Source organism: Homo sapiens, chromosome 11 (assembly GCF_000001405.40).
Source record: "Homo sapiens chromosome 11, GRCh38.p14 Primary Assembly".
Classification (NCBI taxonomy): domain Eukaryota; kingdom Metazoa; phylum Chordata; class Mammalia; order Primates; family Hominidae; genus Homo; species Homo sapiens.
In genome coordinates this window covers 131175295-131201705 of record NC_000011.10, presented here as the reverse complement: position 1 = coordinate 131201705, position 26411 = coordinate 131175295, and the positions used below count along the sequence as shown (strand labels likewise).

General features: G+C 45.3%; 2 long non-coding RNA genes across 5 annotated transcripts in view, besides 1 other annotated feature; one reads left to right on the top strand and one right to left on the bottom strand.

Moving 5' to 3' along the window:
* The window catches only part of LOC107984412 (uncharacterized), a 45435-nt gene extending 30539 nt beyond the window's left edge, over positions 1–14896 (bottom strand). For both annotated transcript variants that reach the window (XR_001748463.2, XR_001748464.2), the window contains exons 1-2: positions 14579–14896; positions 8905–9062 (exon numbers count right to left, since the gene is read on the bottom strand). This is a non-coding gene — a long non-coding RNA (uncharacterized LOC107984412). The remainder of the gene's footprint in view (positions 1–8904; positions 9063–14578) is intronic.
* Positions 14828–15057: an enhancer, noted in NCBI's record as "active region_5758". NCBI's record gives its function as "activates an Ori minimal core promoter by ATAC-STARR-seq in GM12878 lymphoblastoid cells {active_cell/tissue: GM12878}" and the evidence as "EXISTENCE:reporter gene assay evidence [ECO:0000049][PMID:35858748]".
* LOC105369578 (uncharacterized) lies at positions 14985–26163 on the top strand. 3 transcript variants are annotated; one of them, XR_948201.3, is made up of 5 exons: positions 14985–15075; positions 15253–15359; positions 22317–22354; positions 23254–23704; positions 23904–26163. It is a non-coding gene; the product is annotated as an uncharacterized LOC105369578 (long non-coding RNA). The 3 variants fall into 3 exon arrangements; XR_001748462.2 differs by having other exon boundaries at positions 23254–26163; XR_948202.3 differs by lacking the exons at positions 22317–22354; positions 23254–23704; positions 23904–26163 and adding an exon at positions 15581–15880.
* The last annotated feature ends 248 nt before the right edge of the window (positions 26164–26411 follow it).

Below are 26411 nucleotides of genomic sequence, written 5' to 3'. Positions count from 1 at the left end.
CCTGAGCGTATTCTTGTACACTGACTCCATCACGTTACCTCCTTCACATGCTTCATGTACATGCCGACACATTTGCCCTACACGTAAAGGTTGTTCTCCTTTAGCCTGGAGGTTCCATAACAGCCGAGCTGTTCTGTCCTCTGTGTATCACAGGAGCCAGCCCAGTGTAGGAGACTAGGATGAACACATGCTGGGTAAAGGGCTGGGTGTGGCCCTATCAGCTAGAGGGTCTTAATCAAGGCCCAAGCTTCCTTAACCACCATGACCTGTTTGTAAATGAGGAGCTGATACATGCTCCAGCCAGCTCCAGAGGTCGATGATCAAAGGACATAATGTACGGAAGAGTGTTCTTCCAATGGAAGATATGCTGTTCAAATGGAAATTATGAAGGTGCCTTTCCATGACACGTCCTGTTTATCTCCCACCGTTTCTTCTCCTAGCAACCCTTCACCCTGTAAATCAAAGCTTAGAAAACCATCTTGGGAAAGGGGGGTTGTAGGTGGAAATGTTTGGGGCCATGGAAAGGGGTTGGGGAGGAAAAATCAGGATCCTGCTTTCAGGAATGCATGATGCTCATCCTCTGATGGAGCTACCTTAGAACCCTGAAATTGGCAGGCACAGCCAGTAGACCCAGGCTCTGGACTGAGACCTTCACTGGGCAAAAGATTTTTTTTTTTTTCATTTTTCTTTTTGACTCTTGGCAATGTGGCAGAAATGGCACTTGCTCATCCCCAATCCAACCCCAGCAAAATACAGCTTTCCTCGCTTGATAGAGTACATGCACAACCCAAGCGGAGACCCAAAAATCGGTGTGCATTGATTCCTAAGCTAGGAATTCATAAAGTTCTTTAAGGTCATGGATTGATTTTTTTACTTCCAGTAAAAAACTGTGAGGCTCCAGGTCATTCCCTTCATTTGTGCCGCCTTTCTCATCTGCAGGGCCACATGCTCTCTCTCACCTGCGTGTGCCCTGCCTCTCCTTCCCCAGTACCACCAGGAGGGAGAAGCACTTCAAGGGGGAGAGAGAAATGCTTAAACACTCCTCCTGCCACATCAAAGCTTCTGCGCATTGGCTTAATCCCCTGGATTAATCAAATAAGGGAACAAATGGATTTGAAGGATGACACTGCAAAAATGAGCAGTGATTGGAACAGACTCATCAGCATGCACCGGGTCAAAGCTGGGCAGTAAGGGGCTTGAAAGCAGAGCAAAGACCTGGGATAGATCGGTGCCCATCCCAACACCGATTCTGCCAATGGCTCCAGGTGCCAGGTGGGAAGCACACTTGAGCCAGCACCCAAAGGTGGGGGCAGGCTGTGCGACCAGCGAGCCTCCTACTCACCTGGACCTTGGGTTTTAGGCACACCTGAAAAACCTAGAAAATACGCACCTCATGAAAGTGGTTATGAGGATCAAATATGATGACAGATATAAAGGCATGCTTTACACTTATCAGGTGAGTACAAGATAACTACTACTCTGCTCTCCCCAGTATTCCTTATATTGAGAATCATAATGTTTGAAGGAAATTCATGAATGATATGCTGATGGGGTCATCATGGGTTCTTTCCTTCTTTCCTTTTTTTCAAAAAAAAATATTGTATTGTAATAAGAAAATAATGTGAGATCTATCTTCCGAATTTAACAGATGTTTTAAGTGGAGAATACATCGTGGTTATCTGTAAGCATATTGTTGCCCGACAGACCTCTAGAACTTACTCATCTTGCATAACTAACATTTATACCCCCACCCTACAGCCACCATTCTATTCTTGCTTCTAGGAGTAGGACTATTTTAGATGCCTCTAGGGAATCACAGAACCACCACACGATTCAGCAACCCCACTTATGCCTGTTTCTCCAAAAGAGTAGAGATCAGGATCTGAAAGAGTTATCTGCACTGCCATGGTCATGGCGGCGCTACTCACGACAGCCGAGATGTGGAGATAACCTAAGGGCCCAGCAACACATGAATGGGTTTTAACATGTGGTCTACGCATACGATAGAATATGATTCAGCCTTCAAAAAGAAGGAATCCTGCCGCACGTGATAACATGAACAAACATGTTGGAGGACACCATGCTTAGTGAAAGAAGCCAGGCACAGAAAGACAAGTCCTCCTTTTGTCTTTTTTTAAGCGACACCATCTTCAAGTCTGTCAAGTACAAACTCTGCAGCCAAGAGCCCCTGGGGTCGCTTCCCAGCCTTGCTGCCTGTGAGCTGTTTCTCGGCTGTCTCCCCTTCCTCAGCTCCATTCCTTTGTCCGTAAAATGGAGATAACAGCATCCAGCATGTGCAGGCATGGAGAGGATTTGAAGCAGGATAATGAGGCTGGGACTTCATCCTTGCTCCACCTCAGGAGATCTGGGTGCAGCCAGCTGTGGAGCTCCGTGGCACCCGAGCTGGGGAGCCAGGCCTCCCTTGGCCTCCCTCGGGCCCACAGCCAGGCCCTTGCCCCTCGCTGGCTGGAGGCCCTGCCAGTCAGCTTCGGGGTAGGCATGGCCGTGGGTTCTGTGGATCCCTGTGAGCCAGGGGCTGGAGGCTCTGGTCTCAGCTGCTGCGGGCCCCATGGTTTGGTGGGTGTCGGCTGCTCATTAGCAGCAAATCAAGATGTTCAGATGGTGCAGGAGCCAGACCCTGCCTCTCAGGCAAGGGTGGCAGACTGTGCCCGCACCCGCTACCAACTTCCTGTCAGCCCTGCAGGCCTCTGTGCCATGTGCCAGTCCCTAGGAGCTGGGCTCAGCTGTGCCTGACAACAGGTCCCTCCCATTAGCAGAGGCAGCCTGTGGCTGGACAGGCTCCTGCCCCAGAGCCACCCCCTGGACTTCTCGGCCTGAGGCTGGGCCATCTGACCCCCTCCCCTGGCTGCTTGCATCACAACCAGGTGTCCAGCAGGGCTTTGATAGTTATGCTGCCCAAGTGGGAACTAAAGGACTACCTCAGGCATGACCTGAGCCCAGAGTCCTGATCAGAAGATAACTCTGGCAAAGAATGGTAACTTGGCGGTGACCCAGGGAGGAGACAGGCACGTGTCCAGCCAACCAGCTGATGATACTAGCAAAGCCGTTGAAAGACGCATGATCATTTATATGCAATAAGCTCCTTCGTCTTTAGAGCACAGAAATCGGAGTGCTGTCTTGCTGCGGGCACATCCTGTGTGTGCCCCTGTGTCTTCGACCTGTAGACAAATGCTCAGAGCGGTGGTGAGAGGAGCACCTTGGGAAGGGGGAGGCACCAAGGAATGACTTGCCCTGCCCCCTTGCTGCCTGGCCCCCGTCGCTCCTCAGAGCCCTGTGCTAGCCACATGTGGTGGAGGGAGGAAGGCATGCAAAGCAGGTTCCTGCACCTGGGAGCCTGAGGTGGAGCAAGGAGGCAAGGCTGGTGCACAAAGAGTGCCAGACAGGTGGGATGCGTCTAGGTGCAGTGGGGCATGACCTGGTCCTAAGGTTAGGGGAACCGTGTTGGGGCAGAGGCCTCACCTCCGTTAGGCTTTAAAAAACATGTTTCATCCTAAACTACCTCTTCCTTAGATTGTCTCCCATAAAGTGAGTGCTCCAGAAATACCAACTTCTTCAAATGTGAGTCCTTGGGAAGCATGATCAGGAAGGGGAGGTGAGGAAATGCACAGATATGCAAGACTGGGAGTCGGGGCCACCTGCACAGTTACTGTCCCCTAGGGCGGTCAGAAATAAACACAGTGACGACGCAGCCGTTCCCCTTCTTCCCCTATTTCTCTCTCTTCATCCAGTTTCAAAGAGAACAGACCCAGCAGCAGCACCCATACTGCTGCTGCGTCCTGCGCCTGTGTCCCCGGCTCCCAGCCCATCCTTCCAGGGACACGGAGAGTCACAGGCAGCTTCATCGCTTCCTTAGTGGTTGGGATGGGACTGAAGCTGAAGCCCTTGGGATTAGCCACGCAAACCCCTCTGTGATACCCCATTATCGCCTCTCTCTTCTCGCCCTTCAGCATCCAGCACAGAACTTGCTGGAGCTGCTTCCTGCAGAATATTGCTGGGGTCATGCTCTTCTCTTCACTGTTGCAGTGCCAGCACAGGTCCATAGAGATGTGATTCCTCAAGAGGTAATTCCAGTTCAACTTCAGCCTAGAAAGTGCTAATCCCCTCCAATGACCTTATCACAAGGTATCTGGTATCTTCCTAGCTCTGGGTGAAGGCATCGTGCCCCAGCCCTGGCTATGGGCAGCACCTGAGCAACAGCTCTGTTTTGGGGAGGCAGCTGAAAGTGGAGGGCTGTGGGAAAAAGATCAGGATGGAGAACGGTGAGGACACACAACAAAGACTTGGAGAGTTACTTTGCAGTGCACAAAAGAGATCCTTCCTTCAAGAGTTGCTGAGGACTCCTTTATATTGGCATAAAAGTTTTAAACATTATTACCACTAGGATAGCATCTCCACACCCCATGCATTGCCTGGCTCCCCTCCGGCCTCATCTACCCATGCAGGTGGAGCAGCACCCACCCAATCTGTTCTTCTTGTATCCAGTGCTGTGAAACAAAACGCAGACATACACTGCCTCTCTAGCTCCATAAAGTTGGAAGTTTATTGCTGTTTTATTCAACTGCAATAGCACCTAATCTCTTTCTACTCCAGTGGATTTTTTCCAGGGAGTAGCCAAGCCCATTGGAAAGCAGGAGAGATACACAGGGCAGTGGACACAAGCCATGCCTCAGGATTTTGCAGGATCTCAGACCAAAGCAAATGAGCTAAAGCTGTCACCAGAGGCTCCAAGGCCCAGGATGTCCGGAAAGAAACCCCAAAGGCACAGAAGTCAGTGAGACCAGAGCCTGGAAAGTTTTCCGAACAGGCAATGTGGAGAGAAAAAAGGCACTGGTGAATCCTTTATGGAGCAGCAGCTTAAAGTTTTTAAGTGCAATTGTCCCCCATCCTGCCTTCACCCCAAAAATGTCCAGGTCTTGTTGGACTACCCTTAAAGAGGCCATGTTGATGAGTGACATTTGACAGCAATAATGAGAATATGGGTGGGATAAGGACCTCTTTAGCCTTTCTCTGTTTGACTAAGAATGGACAAAGTAGTATAAACAAATAACAGACCCTTTGAAATTCTAATAAATATTTGGATCTTCTCACCAGAAAAAAAAATGCATATACATAGAACAATTTTATACATATACATATACAATGCGTATACATAGAATAATTTGGGGTGATTCATTGTCCCCCAAAGGCAAATTCTCTAAAGTATTAATGTGTGCCAGGCTCAAAATCCTGATGTGAGAAGAGAATCTGGTCAGCTCTAACATTCTGGACTTTACGCTCTTGGGCAGCCAGGGACTGTTCTGTTTATGTGTCGCCTGTGATGGCTCAGTGCTGTCCTGAGGGCAGGGCATGAACCCAGTAGGAGCAGAAGCCCTTCGGATCTCAGGTCTGGTGTTGGATTTGCAGGGAGCTGTCAGGTGGGGAGATACCAAAGATGGAGTCATCTCCCCTGCAGCAGACCAGGGCTCCCTGCCCTCCTTTCTACCCTACTGGCTTCTGGAGCTTCTCCAAAGACAGCAGCAGGCACCAATGGCTAATTGCTCCGAAATAGCTAGTCTCCATTTCAGGGTGCTGCTTGCTTTTGCTTCAGTAGCTGGCAAATGAATCCTCCTAGGGATTATAATAACCCTGTCCTGGCTGTGTTCCCTGGAATCTTGGCCTCTTTCCCTGGCACTCATCCCAAAAGGGTTGGAAATCTCTGAGTATTTATCCCCTTGAAGATTCCCCGTGCCCGCCTGGCACCTAGCCACCCTGCACACATACGGCTGGCTTCCTCCATTTCTCCGTGGAGAAGGCTGTGCCCTGACTCTCCCCCCATGCCCACCACCCCAGACCTCTGCTCAGTCCTCGACCTACTACCCTGAAGGCGGCTCTCTTCATAGGGCTGCCTATCTGCCCATTTAGGACCTGCTGCTCTGTTCCCTTTTATCTGTCCTCTCTGACGATGTTTTTATTCAATTCTGGCAGATCTACACTTTTCCTCCAGTATCTTTTCTGCCAAAAAGCCCAAAGTTCTGAAGGAAGAAGCAGGATGCCTTCTCTGACTGAAGGCAGAGACTAGTAACCACTGGAACTGTGAGCAAGCGAAGTGGCTCCTTCCTCAAAGAGCTGATTTTTAGCTCATCTTTTCTGAGAATAAATATGTGATTCTGGGGGCAGGGAATGCATTGACATTTTGATTCTGCAGCTCCGAACGTGAATGCAGACCACTTGGTAATGACCTAGTATTATCAGAGTGTAGAGGGTGATGAAGTCAAACCCTGAACACCTATTGGGTGACGTTGTTGTTTTCGGTTTCTGTCTACCCCCACCAGATGCTGAGCTCCATGAAGATAGGCGCTAGATCTTTAAATTCCTTGTAGCTACGACCATGTACTCCTTATCCCTAACTACTAAGGTTGGCGGGTGGGAGAGAGGAGTACCTACCACAGGACGGGCGTTTATGAAAATTTCAATAAATCAGTGGCCAATAAGCGAGCTGTGATGGTCCAGCGAGTACAGCTTCTAGCAAAGCCCTTTCACAGAGCATTGAGGTTTAGTGTAAATGAACCCTGCCTGCTGGTGGCCACTTATAATATGAGGCTGATGAGTGGAGAGCAATGGTCCTCATGTGGGACAGTTTCTTTCTCTGGATCTGTGGCCCTGATCACAGTGGGAATCCGGTGAAAAGGTATATATAGCCGGATCCCAGCACAGGCATCATTATTGCTGGCAAACACACTGAGAGCGGGCTGCTATTTTTGTACGGGAAGTACAGCACATTTCACTGAAGTCCTACCAAGTGCTACACAACACTGGGGAAGATTCTCAGCTGCTTCCTTCTAGGAGCATTTACTCCAAACAAAGGCCCCATGAGCAACCCACTGCAGACTCACAATTACACGCCAGCCACACCAGTCAGGAGGACCGTCCCTTCCCTTCAGTTGCTACTTAGCTTTTCACACTGTAACCCAGGCCTACTGCCTTCCTGGTAATGATATTATAATATTGTCTTTGTGTGCCCTTTGCCAAGTCATTCTTGGCAATCCATGGAAATTCGAATACAATCATAATCAATAAACAACAGTAATTAAAGCACCACATAATAGATCGTATAAAACCTGTATATGGCTGAAAAGCCAAATAAGTGGCATTTTAACAAGAGAGAAGCGGGGTGGGCCAGCTCAGAGGGACTGTTTTCAAGCAGCGATTGTGAATTCCCCACATTCAAAGTGAATTCGTGGAGTTTCCACTCCAGAGCCAGGCAGACTTTCTCCATACAACCGATTGCAGACGTGGCCGGAAAATAGAAGACAGTGCATAACAGAGAAACTGGGATTTGGTCAGAAATTGTTTGTTTACATCAGAGACTTAAAAGAGGTACCCTGAAGGAAGGGAATGTACCCGATCTCCCCCATGCAGGGTCCATCAATCTCTGCAAAAGGGATGGACAAATCCCCATGAAGCTGGAACAAAGTAGGTCTCAGAAGTGGGTGCTCCTGGCGAAGAGGAAATACTCTTTTCCTGCTCAGCTCCCTGAGGAGACAGCAAAGGCTGGGAAAACATACATCCTTTAGAGCCAGAGAAACGTGGGTTTGCATAGGAAATCTGCAATTTTTCAGCCTAAGCTACCTTAACCTCTGTAAGTAATTCTGCATCTCTTAAAAAGAATGAAAATGCCCATTTCACTTACTCTAAGAATTAAGTGAAGGAACAGGTGTAAGGGACTTATCGCAGCGTTTAGCACATAGTGGGTACTAATAGATGTCAGTCCTCTTCCCACAAAGCCCTGGGACTGTGTTTAGAAAGGTCAAGGTGACCCTTGGAAAGTGCTGGCTTGCTTTGGGAGTTACATTCACTCTGGCCTCATTCAGGACCTACTTTGTGTCTTGGTATCACTCTTGGCACTAGGAATGTTAAGATAAATGAGAACCAGATCTCACAGACAAGCCTGCAAACTAGTGGAAGAACCACCCCCTGTCCCCACATGCTTTGTCTATGGCTAAGGGCAACAGGGAATCACAGGAGAGAGGGATTAAGTCAGCCTCAAGATCACTGGGGAAAGCATGAAAAAAGGGGTTAACCCTGAATGATCCATGAATGAGAACCAAGAATATCTCCCCACAAAAAAAAAGTAGAGAAAGAAATCCCAGGCAGAGGAAAGAGCCTGAGAAAAGGCACGGAGGAGTGCGTGTACTATATGTGGTGTACTTGCGAGTGCCTTAGAATCACCTGCAGCCCAGAGAGTGGGGATTAAGCTGCGATGCACACACCTCCTTCTACCTCAACCTTCTGCACAGGCTTTCCTTTCTCAGAGCTCCCTGACCCACGCAGTCAGAGCTTCAAGATTAGGGTGCTAGCGAGATCCTGCCTGTTTCTTTAGAGCACCAACCACAGATCACGAAATTGGGGATAACTGGGAGACTTAACAGGAGAGATCTGGGGGTATGCACCGCAGAGAATGAGGGCAAGCGGGTTGGTGGAACGCTCCAGGTTTAGAACTTGATCTTGGGGCAGGGTGAGGAATGGGGGTGTTGCTGTCGGGAGAAAGCTGACTCCAGAGTTCCCTAATTGAGCTAAGATCCACGCCCCCACCTCCCTGTTTTTAACACCTCGTAATATAAAGAGTAGAAATTTTTAAAGAAAGCCAAAGATGACAGTTGTAGGGTAAAAAAGGTGTGGGAAATATGTGAAGAACAGAAGGCTCGGGATTCTGGTCTGCTGTCGGTGATATGTGAGGTGTCCGCAGGGAAACCACAATAGCTGGGGCTCAGGACCGGAAGAAATGGGGGTCAGAGAGTCTCCAGCGAGCTTGGAAAGGACCCTTTCATGTCAGGCCTGGGGAGGGAGGGGCCAGCTGTCAGGACGAGTTCTGAGCCCTGTGACGTGGCTGGCTTTTGTTCTTACTTTGCCTTTTCCACTTCTCTCTCTTTAGTGTCGAGTTCGCAGGCTGTGATGGTGATGCTGACAGCAAAGTACTTAACACTTTGAAAGGGGGAAGCGTTCCATACATCTTCAGTGAAATGATGAGACACGTGAATTAGAAGGCAACCTCGTGCTGGTTCCTGGAAGAAAGATAAAGAAGAACTAGGAAATAGAGTTTGGTCTTCCTATCCAAGATGGCCTAGTATCATTAGCCAAGCCCATTTTCAACAGAGTAAAGCAGGAAGTTCTCAGTCATCCAGTCCACAGGCCAAGTTCCCCCTAAATCATAAAGCCCCTTTTCTCTCCTTAATTGAGAATCTAGCTGTCTTCATGTCTACAGAGAGCCCAGCTCTCCCTAACCCGTGGGTGGGTAGACAGCAGCCCACTTCCTGGCCATCACTCCAGACCATGGTTCCTGCCCCCAGGGGAAGCCAATCTGATTTCCCCCATGGACACTCCTTCCTTAAGTTGCCAGACACATGCCTGCCATCTTGGTGTCCTCCTTCAGGAGACCAAGCAAAAACAAGGAGAGTCTCTCTGCAGTGACATAAAGCTGTGAAAGATGAACAGTTATTTCCAGAGATGAAGATGGACATTTGAAATCTAAGGGAGCCTTATTCCATGCAAGAAATATCTCACCATTGGTTTTATACGTTCTTGTGGCCATGATAAGCCAGCATCTGCTCCAGGAACAAATGATGTGAGGGCTGGGCATCTGAAGGAATGAGCGGGGAAGGTCCCCACCAAGCTGTCTCCTCCTCCCAGCATTTGGAGGCAGGACACCTCACAGGGCTCACACCACTGCTCCCTGCCTGACTTTCAACCAACTTTCAATTAGCTGAACAAATGTGTTTAGTGTTGCTACAGATAATCTCAAAGCCGTTTATATCGGGCTTCATAATACATGATGGCAGGGAGGTGGGACGGGGGTGGGAGGTGGCAGTGGAGAGGCCTGGGTAGGAGAAAGTTGCTGAAGATTTATCTTTCTAATTATGCTTTGCTTAGGGCTAATATGAAAATTAGTTTCAATTCCCTGAGCACACAGCAGCTGAGGAACATGCTGGGCATTGGGAGGCCAGCCTAAGGATTTTAAATTTGCTGAGGACAGACCCGTATGGGTCATGGCCACATGGCTGTTAAGGCCAGCTCTTCTGCCACCAGGGCTGGCCTGAGACCTCCAGTATCCCCCCTGGTCTGCCTGTTCACGTAGTTCACACAAGGAGAATGAGAGGCCAATCACACCCACACCGCCCCGTGCCCAGCTCTGTCCTTGACTTGCAATGACAAATGGCTTCAGCAGATGGACCACACAGCTCTTTCTCATTGTTCTGAGATGGAACTAGCCTCAGATAGGGTGAATAATAAGCAGTTACTAAATTAATACAACATGGTCTGCCTCCTTTACCCCCAGTGCCAGGGATGTGTTGTGGTTAATGACTTTTGCACCTGCTGAGTGTAATTAGTAATTCACATGGGTGTGTTATTACTGGGTAAACACATGATATTTACCAATAACTTCCTGCTAGGTAAGCACCAATGAACACTAACAGGTAGCTATTAGGACTAACTTCAGGTGAAATGAGAACTGGCCCCAAATTTGGCTTAAATCTAGGCTCCAGTGAAAATGTTCTTCAAGGAATATAATTGAATCTGTGAGCAAGCTCCCTACACTTACCATGTTTTCCTGGCTTCTGAATCAGACCATGATGCAGAAATACCAAATATCCCCAAACCTCTTATTCATAGATGAGAAATAGTGTGAGTCTCAAGACTTGATATTGAAGGAGACTCTCGAGACTGGCCCCAGTTTCTTCATATGCAAAATAAAGTTAAGCCTATGTCCAAGGGTTGTCCAGTCCTAGTGAATGAAACAGTTAGCATGGGAGCAGGGCTAGAAAAATAAAGTTTTACAAGTGTATGTTATTAAAACTGTGATTCCAACCTGGTTGTCACTATGCGAGCCTGGGACTCTTATGTGGGACTTTGTAGGGGGCACAGATATGGTTAGACAGGGACTAGAACCACCCCCTCTCCCCAGCCCACTCCCACCCTCAGTGGTATCTAGAAAACTTTCAGTACTGAGAAGGGAGGCACAGCCTTCACATTCTGCATCTCCCACACACACGCCCCACACCGGGCATGCACACACATGCACATACACACACCCTGCATGACACTCTGAAAACTTTCTCATGTCTAAAATATCACAAGTGCTGATCTGAGGCAGAATGCAGAGGAGGAATTAATCCCAGACCTGCCGACTCCCAAAATGTGTTCAGATATCTAGTTAGAACTTCCAATAAAGCTCGGTAGGCATTTTTGCAACACCTCTACCCCCATCCCAGCCCACTTAAGCACTTGCACCAACTCTAACCACAAAGTTTAAGAGTCAAGAGTGTGAACAGAAGAGGGCAGTGGGCAGAAAATGGATTGGCAGACCTATCCCTGCTGCAGGGGAGCGCTGGTTTGTAAGTATCCCGTATATTCCCCCACCCTCACCCAGATTGCCTCCACCCTTACGTGGGCGCTCCCCTGACCTCCCACTTGTCGTTCTACTCAGAGATGAACTTGTATGGATTTCATCAGGCTTGCACCCAGGGTTGCCACTGCAAGCTGCAAGGCCAATGGCCACATGCACAAGCAGCTAATCAGGGTGAAAGGCACACTCTGTGCCCCCAGAACAGAGTGCAATTAACTTGTCATCTGCAGGTCAGACCCAAGACTTCAGCCTCATTAGGGCTGAGCCCTAGCCAGGGAAGTCTCTACACACACACACACACACACACACACACACACACACACACACACACAGAATTCACAGGGGTAATAGGACTACTCTGAGAGTTAAATCCTTGGTGAGCCAGCATAACAGCATAATAATGGGTACAAAATAAGGGGATTTTCTCTGGGTATTAACTAGAGTCGACATTGTATTTTTGAAGTACATTTGCCATGGCATAGTTTTACAAATATTTAACTTCTTAGAAATGAACAGAAAGTACATTGATTTTCACAAGATACAATCTCTACTTGAAGTTTTAATTTTCTTTATTTTTACTGTGAAGAGCTAATCAATACATTTGTAGTTCAAAATTCAAAAGGGCCAAAGAGCACCCAGTGAAATAGTTTCCTCTGATTCCCGATTCACACTAAGTTCTTCTTCCTGGTGTCACCCAGTTACCAATTTCTTCTGAATCATTCCAGAAACAGTCCATCATATATAAGCAAACACATATGGCTTTCCATCCCATTATTTCACATAGATGGCAAGATATGATATATACTCCCCTAGATACAGTATCTTTAATGGGAATTTACAAAATATTTTAAAAGATTTAAACATAATTTTCTTATTTACTTAATTTTTACATCCTAAAGATTGGACCTCTGAACAGAAAACCCCTAGAAGAATTTTTCAAGTCTTTGATGTTTTACTTGCATGACTATTCATTCACTTCCTGGGTGCCTAGTTGGTCAAATGCAGTATCTTTGCTTCTTCAGTGAACATACTATCTTGGGTTGTAAGTTGGAAGTGGTGAGTCTAAAAGCAGCCATCCTCCTTTACAAAAATAAACACACAATTAGCTTATATTGCCACGTTATTTGCTCTCTCCTTTAGCAGAAGCAGTGGCATGTGCTGACAACTTCCAGGAATAAGGAGCACAGGAAAAAAATTAATTCAGTGCCCAGGATCTGCTGAGCAAAGGCATGGTCCCCTACCCTTCCACAACACCGGCAGGCGAGGATTAGTATCCTTACTTTTAGGTAAGACCATGGGACATAGAGAAGAAAGTTTGCTTTAGGTCACATGGTTTACTGGTAGGGAAGTCAGGATGTGGAGCTGAAACTGTTCTAAGCCCACACTCTTTCTTTCTTACCAAGCTGCACCACTATGTCTTAAAAGTGATGAAAACTCAAGGAATGTTAGAGCAACATGTTTAAATGTTAAGGCAAAGAAGAGTCCATCTATATCAAGGTCTTGGTGAGGTGCCACAAATAGGTCAAAAGGCAGGTATGTTTAACTAGTTTGGCAGCTGTAGCATTAGGCTTTCCTGCAGAGTAGGTCAACTTAAAATCCCTAGTTTCTTTCCTCTGCTGGTCATCACCCACACTGGGGCCTAAAAGTGGAAGCTACATGACAGCCAGGAGTAGGGAGATGTTTTGAACTAATGCCTACTCATTTTTGCCTTGATGTAAAACAGGATAGCCTGCATCTATCTTGAATCCTGCTGTTTATTTTTATCTTCCTTTCATAGAATCTCAAAATTGGTTTATACATAAAAATATGGCATTTTCAATTCTATCCCTAAATTATTGTAGGGAAGAACTCCTTTCCATTTTCTTCATTTTCATCCACCTCAATTTTATGTAGAACCAGGAAGACAAAAGCTCAGCTGCTTTCGTCTGGGTAAACGACAGGAGGAAGACAGCTCTTTAGACCTCAAATCTCAGATCTTTACTCACTTTAGCAATCACAAAAAGATGTGCAGCTGTACAATGGCCTGAAACATACCTCTCTCCAAAATTTATATGTTGAAATCCTAATCCCCATAGTGATATTATAAGGAGGTAAAATCTTTGGGAGGTGATTAGACCATGAGGATGAAGCCTTCACAAATGGCATTAGTGTCCTTATAAGAGACGACCTAGAAAGTGCCCTTATCTCTTCCACCATGTGAGGACACAGTGAGAAGAAGGTTGCCCTCACCAGACACCAAATCTGCCAGTGCCTTGACCTTGGACCTCCCAGCCTCCAGAACTGTGAGAAATAAATTTCTGTTGTTTATAAGCCACCTCCAGTCTAAGATATTTTGTTATAGCAGCCCAAATGAACAAGCTAATATTTTTTTTCCTTTTTTGTTTTTTTTTGAGATGGGGTCTCGCTTTGTCACCAGGCTGGAGTGCAGTGGTGTGATCTCAGCCCATTACAACCTCTGCCTCCTGTGTTCAAGCGATTCTGCTGCCTCAGCCTCCCGAGTAGCTGGGACTACAGGCACGTGCCATCACGCCCAGCTAATTTTTGTATTTTCAGTAGAGACGGGGTTTCACCAAATTGGCCAGGCTGGTCTCGAACTCCTGACCTCGTGATCCACCCACCTCAGCCTCCCAAAGGGCTGGGATTACAGACGTGAGCCACCGCGCCCAGCCTCCTATTTTTCCAATAAAAAAACTAAGGCACAAAGGGCCTATGAGAGTTTCCAGCAACCACCAAGGCCATCCTTATGAGGAATGGCTTACTAGAATTGGTCTGCATCCAGGAGCTCAATCATACTAGCACACCTGTTGAACGATGGATAGAGATATAGGGTAAGCAAAGGTGAAATGTCTCCAGTCAGTACCCATCCAATTAGTACTCAACTCAGGGCCCCTAGAAAACACTGTGCTTTCACTTCATAACAGTAGCCAGAAACGATGAAACAAAACAAAACAAAAAAACACTGGGCAAATTGTCATGAGTAGCTAAGGATCCATTTCATTTAGCAAATAGTGTTGGTCCCAGGAAAAAGCACCAAGCCTGGGAATCCCTGCCACAATGACAGAATCACATTCAACAGCTGCTTCCAGCATAGGATGCAATCCCCGCCGCCAGCATCCCTCCCACCTCCAGAAATAGTAAACATCTGCCAAGAGAGAGCCCCATTAGTAAAATTCCCACCTTCTAAGGGTCATCGATTGGCTTTCTTCTGAGCTTCCTGCCTGCTTCCCTCATCTCTGCAGCCTGTTAGAGCCTGCCACGACCGCGTGGGCAACCCCTAGCTGCAGTTTCTTTCCTCTTCTCTGCCCTCAGCACTTTCCCCTCCAGGAGCACAACTCTGAGCTGTCATTCCTGTCAACCAGATGGGAGATCAGCCACAAAGCTGCTCCGCCTCTCGCAAGGACAGGAACTCTTGTGGCAGGCAGGCTTTCGGGGCGGCTCCAAGAGGGAGTGAGTGAGTCTGGGCCTCTTAGTCGCTGTGGTCATGGTAAGGGAAAGTGACCTGTTTGTCACCAGGTTTCCCTTGGAAGTCCCCCACCCTCAGGCCTGGCTCCCCGCACTTCCCCTTTTGGTCCCTTCTGCTCTCACAGCTTCACTGCAGCCAGCGTGGAGCAGGATGCTGACAGCAGAGTGGCTCCAGTGAGCTGCCATTCCAGATGTCAGGAACAAGCTCACAGGTAGGAGCCCTGTAGGATATTTATGACTTTAATTCCTCGGTAGAGGTTTTTGTTCTTTCATGCGGCGACATATGAATCGCTACTCATTTGCTCCTGTATTTCCACGTCAGTGGCAATTATGGAAGGGCTGCTGGCTTCTTGTACGAACCCACAAGTTATGATCCCTACATATTTCAGACTGAGTGAAGCCGAGAAGGATTGCAAACACCAGTGAGAAAGGGCTGGGAGACAACAGTGACGGAGAAGAGGAGCAGGCTTTCAGGCGATAAGGTGGCTGTGAACTGGTGAGGAGAGGCGGGAAAGTGCCCACTGTTTTGAGGGGCTGGTCTAGGCATCCTGGGCTTCCCTGGCCAGGTTGCGGGGGAGGTTTGGGGGATGGTGGGGGGAAGGTGGTGCAGGCCCAGCTGTAGAGGATTTGAGCTTTGCTCTGCCCAGCAGCTAGCACATTTGTCCGTCTGTGACCTTGGGAAAGTCACTTCCCTTATCTGGCTCCTGCTTTCCCCAGCTTTGAAATGAGGACAGGCCTCCTGGGAGGAGGGAAGAATGCACCGAAGCATGCACTGATGAAAGTTTCTATCCAAAGACCCAGAGCCACACTGCTCTTCATGGAATGGGGCTGTATCCTGGCTCAACAACCACAGCATTTTCACACTTAACAAAAGAAAAGGTCTGTCAAAATCCAGTATGCCACCAACTGGGGAATATAAACCCCCTTTCTACTTTTTTTAAGTTTACAACAAATTCATAAAGCAAAGAGGCTTTTTTATTTCATGTTTGTCAATAAACCTGGCAATAGAAATACCAATTTGAACAGCAATTTTCCTGCTGGTCTGAGCTGAAATTAGCTATGGATGAATTGGTTTTCAGTTTTTACATGTAAATAATCTCCACACCCCCTGCTCCTATAGACAGTTGTAAGACATTACCCTGTTTCATGGCCATGTCTCTGCCCAAATCTTTGGTTCTTGAAGGTGACACCCATTTTTGCTGCAATGACTCTGACCAATTCTGGTCTAAAGCCTGGGCACAAAGGGCATATTGCTGCAACCACATGGCCAGCAGGGAGGCGGAGGTGGCAGCCTGTCCAGACAGGGTGGAGAAAGGCTTGGAATATGGATGTCCTGAGGACCAATGGAGGCTTGCCCCATTGACCTTCATCACTGTGCCCCGCTGACCTTCATCACTGTGCCCCGTGCCCCGCTGACCTTCATCACTGTGCCTCACTGACCTTCATCTCTCCCACTTCCAGAATCACTGCTCAGATTCCAGCCAAGCCCTGAGGGGGGTTCTGGAAAACTCTATTTCATTCTAGGGCTGATGATTTCCTATATTGGCATTGCCAGATTTAGCAAATAAAAATATAACAAATAATTATTAGTATAAGTATATTCCAAATATTGTATGAGATATAGTTTAAAAATATTGTTTATCTGAAATTCAAAGTTAACTGAACCCCCCTATGAAAGGCCTTTGTCTCCAAAGATATTGGCCTGTGACCTTTGCAGAAACAAAGATCTGCTCACCCAACACTTCTGCTCCTCCCTCAGATTATTATAAATCTAACCACAGGTCTTTAAGAATACCAACCAATCATTCCTTGTGATGCTAGAGTTGAGAGACCAAGGTGGTTCAAGCTTTAAAGAGACAGATGGAAATTTAAGTCCTGGCTTCATCATGCAGCAGTTACACTACCTTAGGTTCATTCATTAATTTTTTAAGCCCCAATTTACTCATCTGTCAAATGTGGACAAAAATATTATCTACTTCAAAATGATACTCCAAGGAGTAGAGAATGTATATGACATCTTTAGTGCAATGCCTAGCACAAAGCAAACAATAAGTTACTCTTACTAATTTTTAAAGTTGCTATAGGTGAAACAGAGTTTCAAACACAAAAACAAGTAAGTCAACGGTTACAAAAATGTTCTCAGATATCATCATACTTTACCCAAACAACCATGAAATGTGTTAATTTTACATTTTATAGATTAAGATTAAGTACATTTGCAGAGCATACTGCAATTAAATAGCAAAGTGCTGAGTTTGAACACAAGTATTTTCAGTCTCAGATCAGACTCGGGTTATAATTTTCTCTTTATAGTTCAGTGGTCCTGATCCCTGCCCTCAAGTAGATTATTATTCAACTGGGAGGTGGAATGAAATACAAAGTTATTTCTAAACCAAAGTGTGTGATGCTCTCTTTGTTTACTCCTTAAACTGGGCATTGGAAGTCCTTTCAATACTTTCCCTTATATCTTCTCAGTCATGGGCTAACAGTCCAGCTGCGGACAGTGTGAGGATCATGGGAATGTAAATGTAAATCTGCAAGTTATACATATACATTGTAGGGGTACCATCCAGCTTGATCCAGCTTAGGAAGAAAGTCTGGATTTTCTCCTTAGATTCATAGGAATTCAGCTGTCTCCACCACCTAGACTCTCTTGGCTTCCATTCTGTAAGATATTCATTCTTGACAGCTTTCTACACACAATCAATGGGTTGAGACTAACATGTAAAGTAATCTCAGACATCCTAAGCTGCTAGTTATTTGCTCTCTTCCCAGATTCTAAATCTCCTTCTACTACTGGGGAATCAGATGTGCTGTTTTCTCCCCCACGACTGAGAAAAGAGTAGCCCAGAGGGGTGCACATGAAAGAAGGCACAATTCAGCTGCCTTTTGATGGCTGTATCTTCAACACAGTGGTGACCACTCCATTCATCAAGGCAGGAAAATGGTCCAGAATCACCGTAGATGTGCATTTGGTGATACGACAAATGACAATAACACCTCCAGGAGAAATGCCTCCTCTCTCTGGTTCCTAGATGTTGCTAAGGCTTTGATCACTCTATTATTCCCCACATCTTAGAACTTCCACAGCAGCAGTGATGGGTGAATGATACATTTATATACAAAAGGACAAACAGCATGGTGTGAGAAAGCCCAGCTTCCTGAAAAAATACTACACTCATTTCACATTTTAGGGAAATTCGTATCTAAAACCCAATGACCAGTTTATTTCCTAGCTTTTTAAGCCTAAGCCATTCTCAAAAATTTTCTCTACTTCCTACTTAAATAATCTAAAACCCTCCAGGTTCATCTTGTTTACTTTCCTAGACCTACTTCTAATCATTTTTCTTTCATACTTTTCTCTTCCCTGGATAAATCAAATGCCAACTGATCTTATTCTCCTCTATCTTCTGACTCCTTTCATTCCCTCTCTGGCATCACTAATCAACCTGTGCAAGCATCCACATGTACATTCAGTGTGTACTTGAATTTCTTGTTTGCAGCAAGAAGTGGTACCTCACATTCTTCAAATATCCAAGCAATAAGGAAGGACACTGATAGCTACAAGGAAACAAAGTAAAATATGTAAAGCGATTAGAGAACAACTTAAGCAAGCAATAATATGAATAACTAATAATATTTCTATGTAGTTTTACAGGGTAGGAAACCCAGAACAACCTGAATCTCATTTGGTCTTCACAATAATATGTGATCAAACCCAACAATAGAGCATATAGAATGGGAAAGTGAAGTGGAAATGTCACTTATCTGTCATCAGATGGATGTGGGTTTGAACTGCAACTCTGCCAGCTAATGTGTTGTGTTACCTGACTATACCACACTGCCTCAGTGTTCGCATCTCAAAAAATACAATAGGAATATCCAAAATGCAATGATAATGCATACAAAATGCCTGACTCAAAGTCAGTGAACTATTACTAATCTCATTTTACAAACAAGGAAATAGAGACCCAAGGAACTTTACAAGTTTAATCAAGGTTACAAAGCCAGTAAGTAGCAGAGCTGGGATTCAAACTCAGGCACTTATGAATTAGAGCCTCTACTTGGCCCATTACATCGTGACTAGAATCTTTTGCCCAGTGCTTCTCAAACTTAATATGCATACCAGTAACCTAGGGCCTTGTTAATATTCAGATCTTGATTAAGCCCAAGGTTCCCAAGATCCTACATTTCTTACAAGCTTTGATGTGATGTGTATCCTTCTGGTCCACACTTTGAATAGCAAAGATATAAACTGTAAGTATTAAACAGAATTTAGGATTATTCTAACATGGTGCAGTTGGCTCTTTAAAAAATTAGTCTTTTATTGATGAGAATGGAATGTAGAGGGTCATGAAAATGTGCTCCAAGTGTTGAGTGGTTTTCCATGTGCACGGCATGGAGCTAGGTTCTGGAGATACACAGATGAGTTGAGGAAGGTGGGACACATGCTTGCAAGTGCAGAATCAGGACAGATAATGGAGAACCTTGAAAGATTTATAGAGGAATATAACTTAGATCCAAAATAATAAGGATCCACCATAGGTTTAAAAACAAGGAACTGGAGTTTAAATCTGGATCACAATAGAGAGTCAGGAATCAAGGATGCCAACCACAAGGCTGCCGTAGAAAGCAGAGGTGAGATGGTATGGGTTGGAACTTGTAAGAAACTGTGGAAATGAATAAAGTAAGGCAGACATAGGAGACACTGAGGAAGACTATGTTACTTGGAACACTGGCCTTTAAACTTGGATGTGGGCGATAATACAACTCTTCTTCACACTAGCTATCCGACTTTGGTCTTCTCTGAGCTTCCATCTCTTTATCTGTAAAATATAGATCATCTATTTCAAGGGCCATTGTGAGGATTAAATAAGATAATGCACGTGAATGCTCTTTGAAAATCCAAAACACTATATAAATCAAGGAGCTATTATGATTAAGTTTCTCATGCAGTATCTGACATATTAGCACTGAATTAAGTAATGAAAGCAGAGAATTTGATGAATGCCTGGATATGAAGAATGAGGAACAGATAACCAAGGGTGATCTGAACATTTTCAGAGTACTACAATGAGAAAATAGTTGCACTAAGCAGAAATGGGAGGAGCAGCGAATCCGTAGGGGAATGTGATGGGTGAGGGGCTGGTGAATCTTGTAAGACTTCACCCTGAGAAATTTAAAAGTCCCAGAGGCAGGACATTTCTCTGACTTTCAAAAGGAGCAGTGGGGTTCCTAAGAGTTCCAGTGAAAAAAACGTTATTTAATTTTCTTCATCCTATGACCACCACAATCATTTGGTGGCCAGCTATATGGCCTTGAACAAGGCTTGGCTTAGCAGTCTCTCCTCATCCGTGAAATGGGGACACAAATAAGAGCCACTTCAAAGGGAGGTCATGAAGACCAGAATCAGTAATGGTTGCAAAGCCTCTCATCCAGTGCCCGCACATCCTAGGTTCTCAATAAAACCCCTCTTCCCCACCACCATTGTCTACGTCACTGTTACTGTGGCAGTGTTTAATACAGAAAACAGAGGAACCTAAAAAGAACAGGTGTCTGGACAAAAACACAAAAAATATTAAGCTAAAGGAACACAAGAGATTCAAATCTTTCCCATCCACAACACACCATTCCATTATTTTGCAAATGGGGAAACTGAGGTCCACAGAGGCAGCATGTGACCAACAGCATTTCTTTTGGACGGGCTGCTACAGTATGCTTACCCACTGGTTCTCCCAGTGATGCTGGAGTTGCCAAAATCTCTGGGAAATGGAAGGAAAACAAAATACCTGCTGAAAGCACTGATTTGAGAGAGCGTGCTCCATGGATGAGGCCATTCTTTCCATCAGACGGAGTAGTATATTTCTCCAAGCTGGACTATTAATTAAAATTCAGCGATGCTAATTTTACTGCCAACTTAGGAGATCCTTATTACATTTATTTTCCAGGTAATTGCTGCTTGTACAGGAGTTCAAATAGATGTCTTTTTTAGATGGTGCAATAGATCAGAATTATAATAGTTACATTCCTCACCCTTCATTTTGCTCCCCTCTCATTCTGAAGCCCGCTTCCTTAAATTATATGGAGAAGCCTCTCCCTCTCTCTCCCTCCCTCCCTCCCGTTCCTGCCTTAGCACTCTCTGGCTCTCCAGGGTGCTCTCTCTGTCAATGATAGACCCCACAGAGGAACGGAGGATCAAAACAGACTTCCTGGTTTGTTGCTCACAATTTTATCATACCATTTCCCCTCGAGGAAGAGTCAAAAGTAATTCCTTCCTTACATATGGAAATGTATACAAAGCACACTTCCTTACGTCGGCTGTTTTTTTAAATCCTAAGTTGAGTCCCCAGTTTACAGATGAACAAATTGACGCTCGGATTCATAATTTCCAGATTCTGGTTTCACCTCTTATTTTTCATCTTGACCAAGAAAAAAATTTTCAGGAAAATTTATAATACATTGTGCTTCAAAAAAGAAAATAAATGATAGTGAAAAGAAAGAAACTTCACTCTCCAGGATCAAACGCATGTGATGAGAGTAGTGGAGAAGGAGGAAGAAAACTCCAAGTTCTCTTCAAAGTTAGAGTGGTTCTTTCTGGAAACTTCCTCCTTGTCACTGGGCCTATGCATTTCTTACAACAGGAAGACTCTTTTCTCTGTATCATTGAATCCCAGGATGGTGACGCTGGGCAGGAGGAGGCCACACCTGAAAGCAACCAGGTAGTTTCCAGGGACCATCCTAAGAACTTGTCTGAGAGGCACTTCTCAGGACCTGGAGGCCTCCAGGGGGAAGCAGCAGGCACCAGAGCCCTCACAGCAGTGTCATAGCCCAGTAAGGGGCTTGGATCTTTGAGCCAGTCCAGCAATAAGTACTGTGTACTGGGGAAGGAGAAGTTTTTGGGGTGGAGTCGGGGCGGGGGCAGATTCATTTGAAAATGAATGGTAGTTGCCATTTATTATATGCTTACTATGCGCCAGGATATTCCTAAGCATTTTACATGCTTTACCTCCATTGTCTCAACAATCTTGGAAGATGGGTACTGTGATTATAATTAGGCCTATTTTTACAAGTGAAAAAACTGAGGCTTAATAAGTTAAGCAACAAATGGAGGGTCATGTGGCTAAACATGAATGGAGCCAGGATTTAAACCTGGGGCTCTCTGACTCCAGAGCTCTTGTACTCTGAATGGCTCTGCACAGTGCCCTCCTAAAAATTTTGTTTTGTCAAAATCCCTTTGGTACTATAAAGCAGTATTAGGTGAAACAGGGAAGGAAAGAATTTGCACCTATAGCAGTCGTATCCAAACTACAATATTTATACCTCAAGGGTGGTGTAAGTTTATTCATCAGGGACCTAGAAAAAAAGTTAGCATATGTATTTATATTTTAATGTCATCCTTTGCAAATATCTATGTATATAGTAGTACCTTCTTATTGCAATTTTGCTTTTCAAGGTTACAGTTTCCTGAGATCAACTGCGGTCTGAAAATCGGTGAGTACAACACAGTAAGATACTTTGAGAGAGAGAGAGTGAGAGAGGCACTATATTCACATAACTTTTATTAGAGTATATTGGAACAATTGTTCTGTTCGATTATTAGTTATTGTTAGTTTCTTACCATGCCTAATTGATAAATTAAACTTTATCACAGGTATGTAAGTATAGAAAAAAAATACAGTATAGCTGGGGCTCAGTACTGTTTGCAGATTCAGACATCCACTAGGGGTCTTGCAATGTATCCTCCTTGGATAGAGGAGGACTACTATATATGAGTTTTATCATGTAAACAATACATTAGTACTTTCTTAAATTTATTTTATGAACAGGGATCAAAAGTATTCTGTCTTGAGATTTAAAATTGCATGACCTTAGAGCTGGGAAAGAAATTTAGAGAACATCTAATCCAACTTCCTACTTTCCACCCACTCTGGCTAAGCTTTCTAGGATTATCCTCCAACCTCTGGTCTTCTCTTAAATGCTGTGAGTTTGCAACTTTCCAAAGGTTTGTTTTGTTTTGTTTTGTTTTGGCCACTATTTCATGGCAACGGAGACTCAACCGCTTCTTTCTAAAGACTCAGATCTACATATTCCAGCTGTAGACCCAGCTGGCTCAGTAAACACAGCATGTGGGCCATGCAATGGACATAGACTTTCATATGAATGGTGTCCCAGGACTAGTCAACCCAGTGACCCGGCATGCTGGTGAAACCAACCAAAAATAATCCTGAGACATCAGAGACACATGAATACCCTGAATGCAGAAATCCTTGCAATAGCGAAAGCTTGCTCTCTTAAGGCTGTTACCTAGTAAATTATCTTGGAGCTCTTCTCCAAGTTTCTCTTTCCTGACCTCCCCATTGGTTTTCTTTTTTTGTGCTTATGAATTGCAGAAGTCTTCAATCAACACAACTGAGCTGAGACTCCTCTAGAAGAGAGCTATCAGGGTCCTGACAGACAGCTGGTGAGGTGCAGAATGACATGAGTGAGGGGCTTGGCGCTGACGTGAAGGTTGAGGAGGCAGTCACCGGAACCCCACGCAGGCTAGAGCTGTGACCGACAGAAACGACGATGTGTGTTCCTAGAGGCTTAGGCAGTGCCAGAGAAATCACTCAGTGCCAGCTGGCTCCTGCATGAATGCTTCTCTAGACAAGCTGACCTTTGCTACTTAGTAGGGTGTACGTTGCCTCTAAGCCCATTTCCAATTTACTGACACCTGGTGGATTTTTATTCACCACTGAGCTCTGGCCCGAAGAGAGCTGCCAAACGTCCTAGGCCATCCATTCACTCAGCACTTATAATCGTGATAGTCACCACCCATGAAAGCTTTAGGACCTGTTTCAGGTAAGAGCACTAACTTTTGGGACAGAGCCTACCAGTGTTCAAATTTTGCTTTGATGGCTACTAAATAGCTACAGTTTGGAAGCTCTTGAGCTTCCTCTGGTCCCCCTTCCTAGCCTGTAGAAGAGGATATTGCTAAAGGGCTATTGTAGGTAAAATGAAATGGGATCAGGGTTGCAAATGCCGTTTTTTACTGTTGCAGTGTTTCTGCATCGTGTCGCCTGAGGGCTTTCTTCTGTGACCAGAAACTGCTCTGCCCCCAAGCAGCACTGGCCTGGAACTGGAGAATTAAAGACCTCCCTAATCCCACACGCAAACTTTGATGTGATTGGCATATAAGTATCTTAGCACCCTAGTATCATGAGTTACATGGCGCTGAGGCACATATTCCACGCTGGGCCCAGCACTTCCCAGAGGGACTGAGTCCCAGGGTGGCATCTCACTTGGTGATGTGCCTTGTACTGGTTACCTTCCCTTCCCATGTCAGCTCACTCTTCTACTGGCGTGTGCTGGAATCACCTCCCAAACCAACTATTTAAATCTTTGCTTCTGGAGAGACCCCAACTAAAATAATATGTATTTGCTCTAAGTAGTTTGATACAGAGCAGATAATGAAAAACAGGAGCTGACAATTATAAAGTGGAATTCTTGAGCAAGTGGTAAGCTCCATTTCTTAGCCTTCTACACCCTCCTCCTCACAACACCAGAGTCAAGAATTCCTGTCTCCTAAGGAAATGTCTCTTATGGCTTGGGTGGATGCTGTTGTAGGGGTATGAAACAAGCCAGTTCCCTTAGCCAGTGAGTATGCACTGGCTGTTTAGAATGTGCCCAACAGGCGCCAGCCTCTGGAGAGGTCATTAATAGCCTCGGGCATGGTCCCTGCCTCAAGTTGGAGAGTTAGGGCTCATGAAGTAAGGAGCAATACATTTCCAGCCCGTGCTGTTTGACAGCAGTACTTTTCAACACTCGGCCACATGTGCTGAAGCCTGCTGGTGTCTGCCCAGGTCCCCTCGACTGGAGGGGACCCTGTGCCCCCTCTAGAGCATTGATGAGTAACTCACAGCTGTCTCTCCAGAGAGTCATCCTTGGCCAAACCTTCATGTGGGCAGCTACCACCCACCACACCAGCCCCTCTTCCAGATCAGACCTCAGCAAACCTGACTGGCCTAGGGATACAGAAGACCAGCCTCTTGCGTCCACGTGGGACCAAGTCTGCAGTGTGACTTGTGCTCCAGAACTCTCCCACAGGCTCAGCCTGAAGTCAGGCTCCAGCGAAGCCCATCCCTGCCTGGCTTCTCTCCACAGTCCTATTCTGCTGCCCTGACTCCTCTTCCCTAAGGGCTATTGCCCAGCGAAGCCCATGGTCTCAGACTGGGCTTCAAAGAAACCTGACTCCATGTTAGCATCTTCTGCGGAGTTTTATAAAAACACATACACCTGAACTTAACCACCTAGACTTACTGAGCCAGAAGCTATAGAGCTTCAAGAGTGGGAACCAGACAACTGTATGCTTTAAAGCCTAATAGATATTTCTAATTCACCAGTTTATCTCTCAACTTTTCATTTTGAAAATGCCAAACTTACAGAAATAATGAAAGTATAATGTAGTGATAAATATCTACATACTCAGCATCTAGATATACCAATTATTAATATTTTGCTCCATTTTCCTCTCTCTCTCTCACATATCAAAAATAATTTGCAAGTAAATTGTAGACATTATGACACTTTATCCTTCAGTTCTTCAGCAGATATTATCCAAGAATAAAGACATTCTCCTACATAACCCCAGTGTCATAATCACCCACAGGAAATTAATACTAACTTGTTAACATCCCCAGAGCATACAGTCCATAGTTAAGATGTACCCTCTGTTTTAGGCCAAAGGTGGCAATTTTCTCAACTTTAGACTCAACAGAAGTTTGGAGAAGGGAAAAATCTGTATGAGTTGAATAGAAAGGAAAATACTTCATGGAGGAAAGAGGATAAGAATTGGGCTGTGAAGGATTGACATTAGAAAGAAGGGGTGGAGCAAATGCTCAGATAGAAGCAGGTAAATACCTATGCAAACATGCAGACATGGGCATTGGAATTGCCTTTTGTGGGAGGAGAAGACTGAGCAGAATTTGTGGACTAGGATAGGTAGGCTGTGCAGCTGGACAGGCCTCATGCAATCTGAGTACAGAGAAATTGCCAATCCAAGCAATCAAAAAAACAGTGGCCACACACCAAGAAACGTTAAAGGTGACTGCACTTAGGAGAGTGGCATCAGATTTGTGGGACACATTCAGGTGAATTCTAGTCAGGACCATGGCAAAGCATTTGGGGTCAGAATTAAACTGGGGAGTTAATTACTGATTGAAATTCATTTATTCATATATTCGTTCTACCAGCATTTTCTGAGTACATATTATGTGCCAAAATACCAATGTGAACACAGGAAATAAAGCACTGAAAAAACAGACAAGGTCCTTGCTTTCATGAAACTTAGGTAGGGGTGTGTGTGTGTGTGCGCGTGTGTGTGTGTGTTGGTTGAGTGGGGGTGCAGGAATCATTCAATAGTCAAGTAAGTAAGTAAGTAAATGAAGAAGAAAAGATTCTATGCTAGTGATATGGTTAAGACAGAAATTTAAAACAAACAAACAGGTTTAACCATCATTGGAGCTTACTTCAGAGGAAAAACATCATCTCAAGCACTGCTAAACTGGAG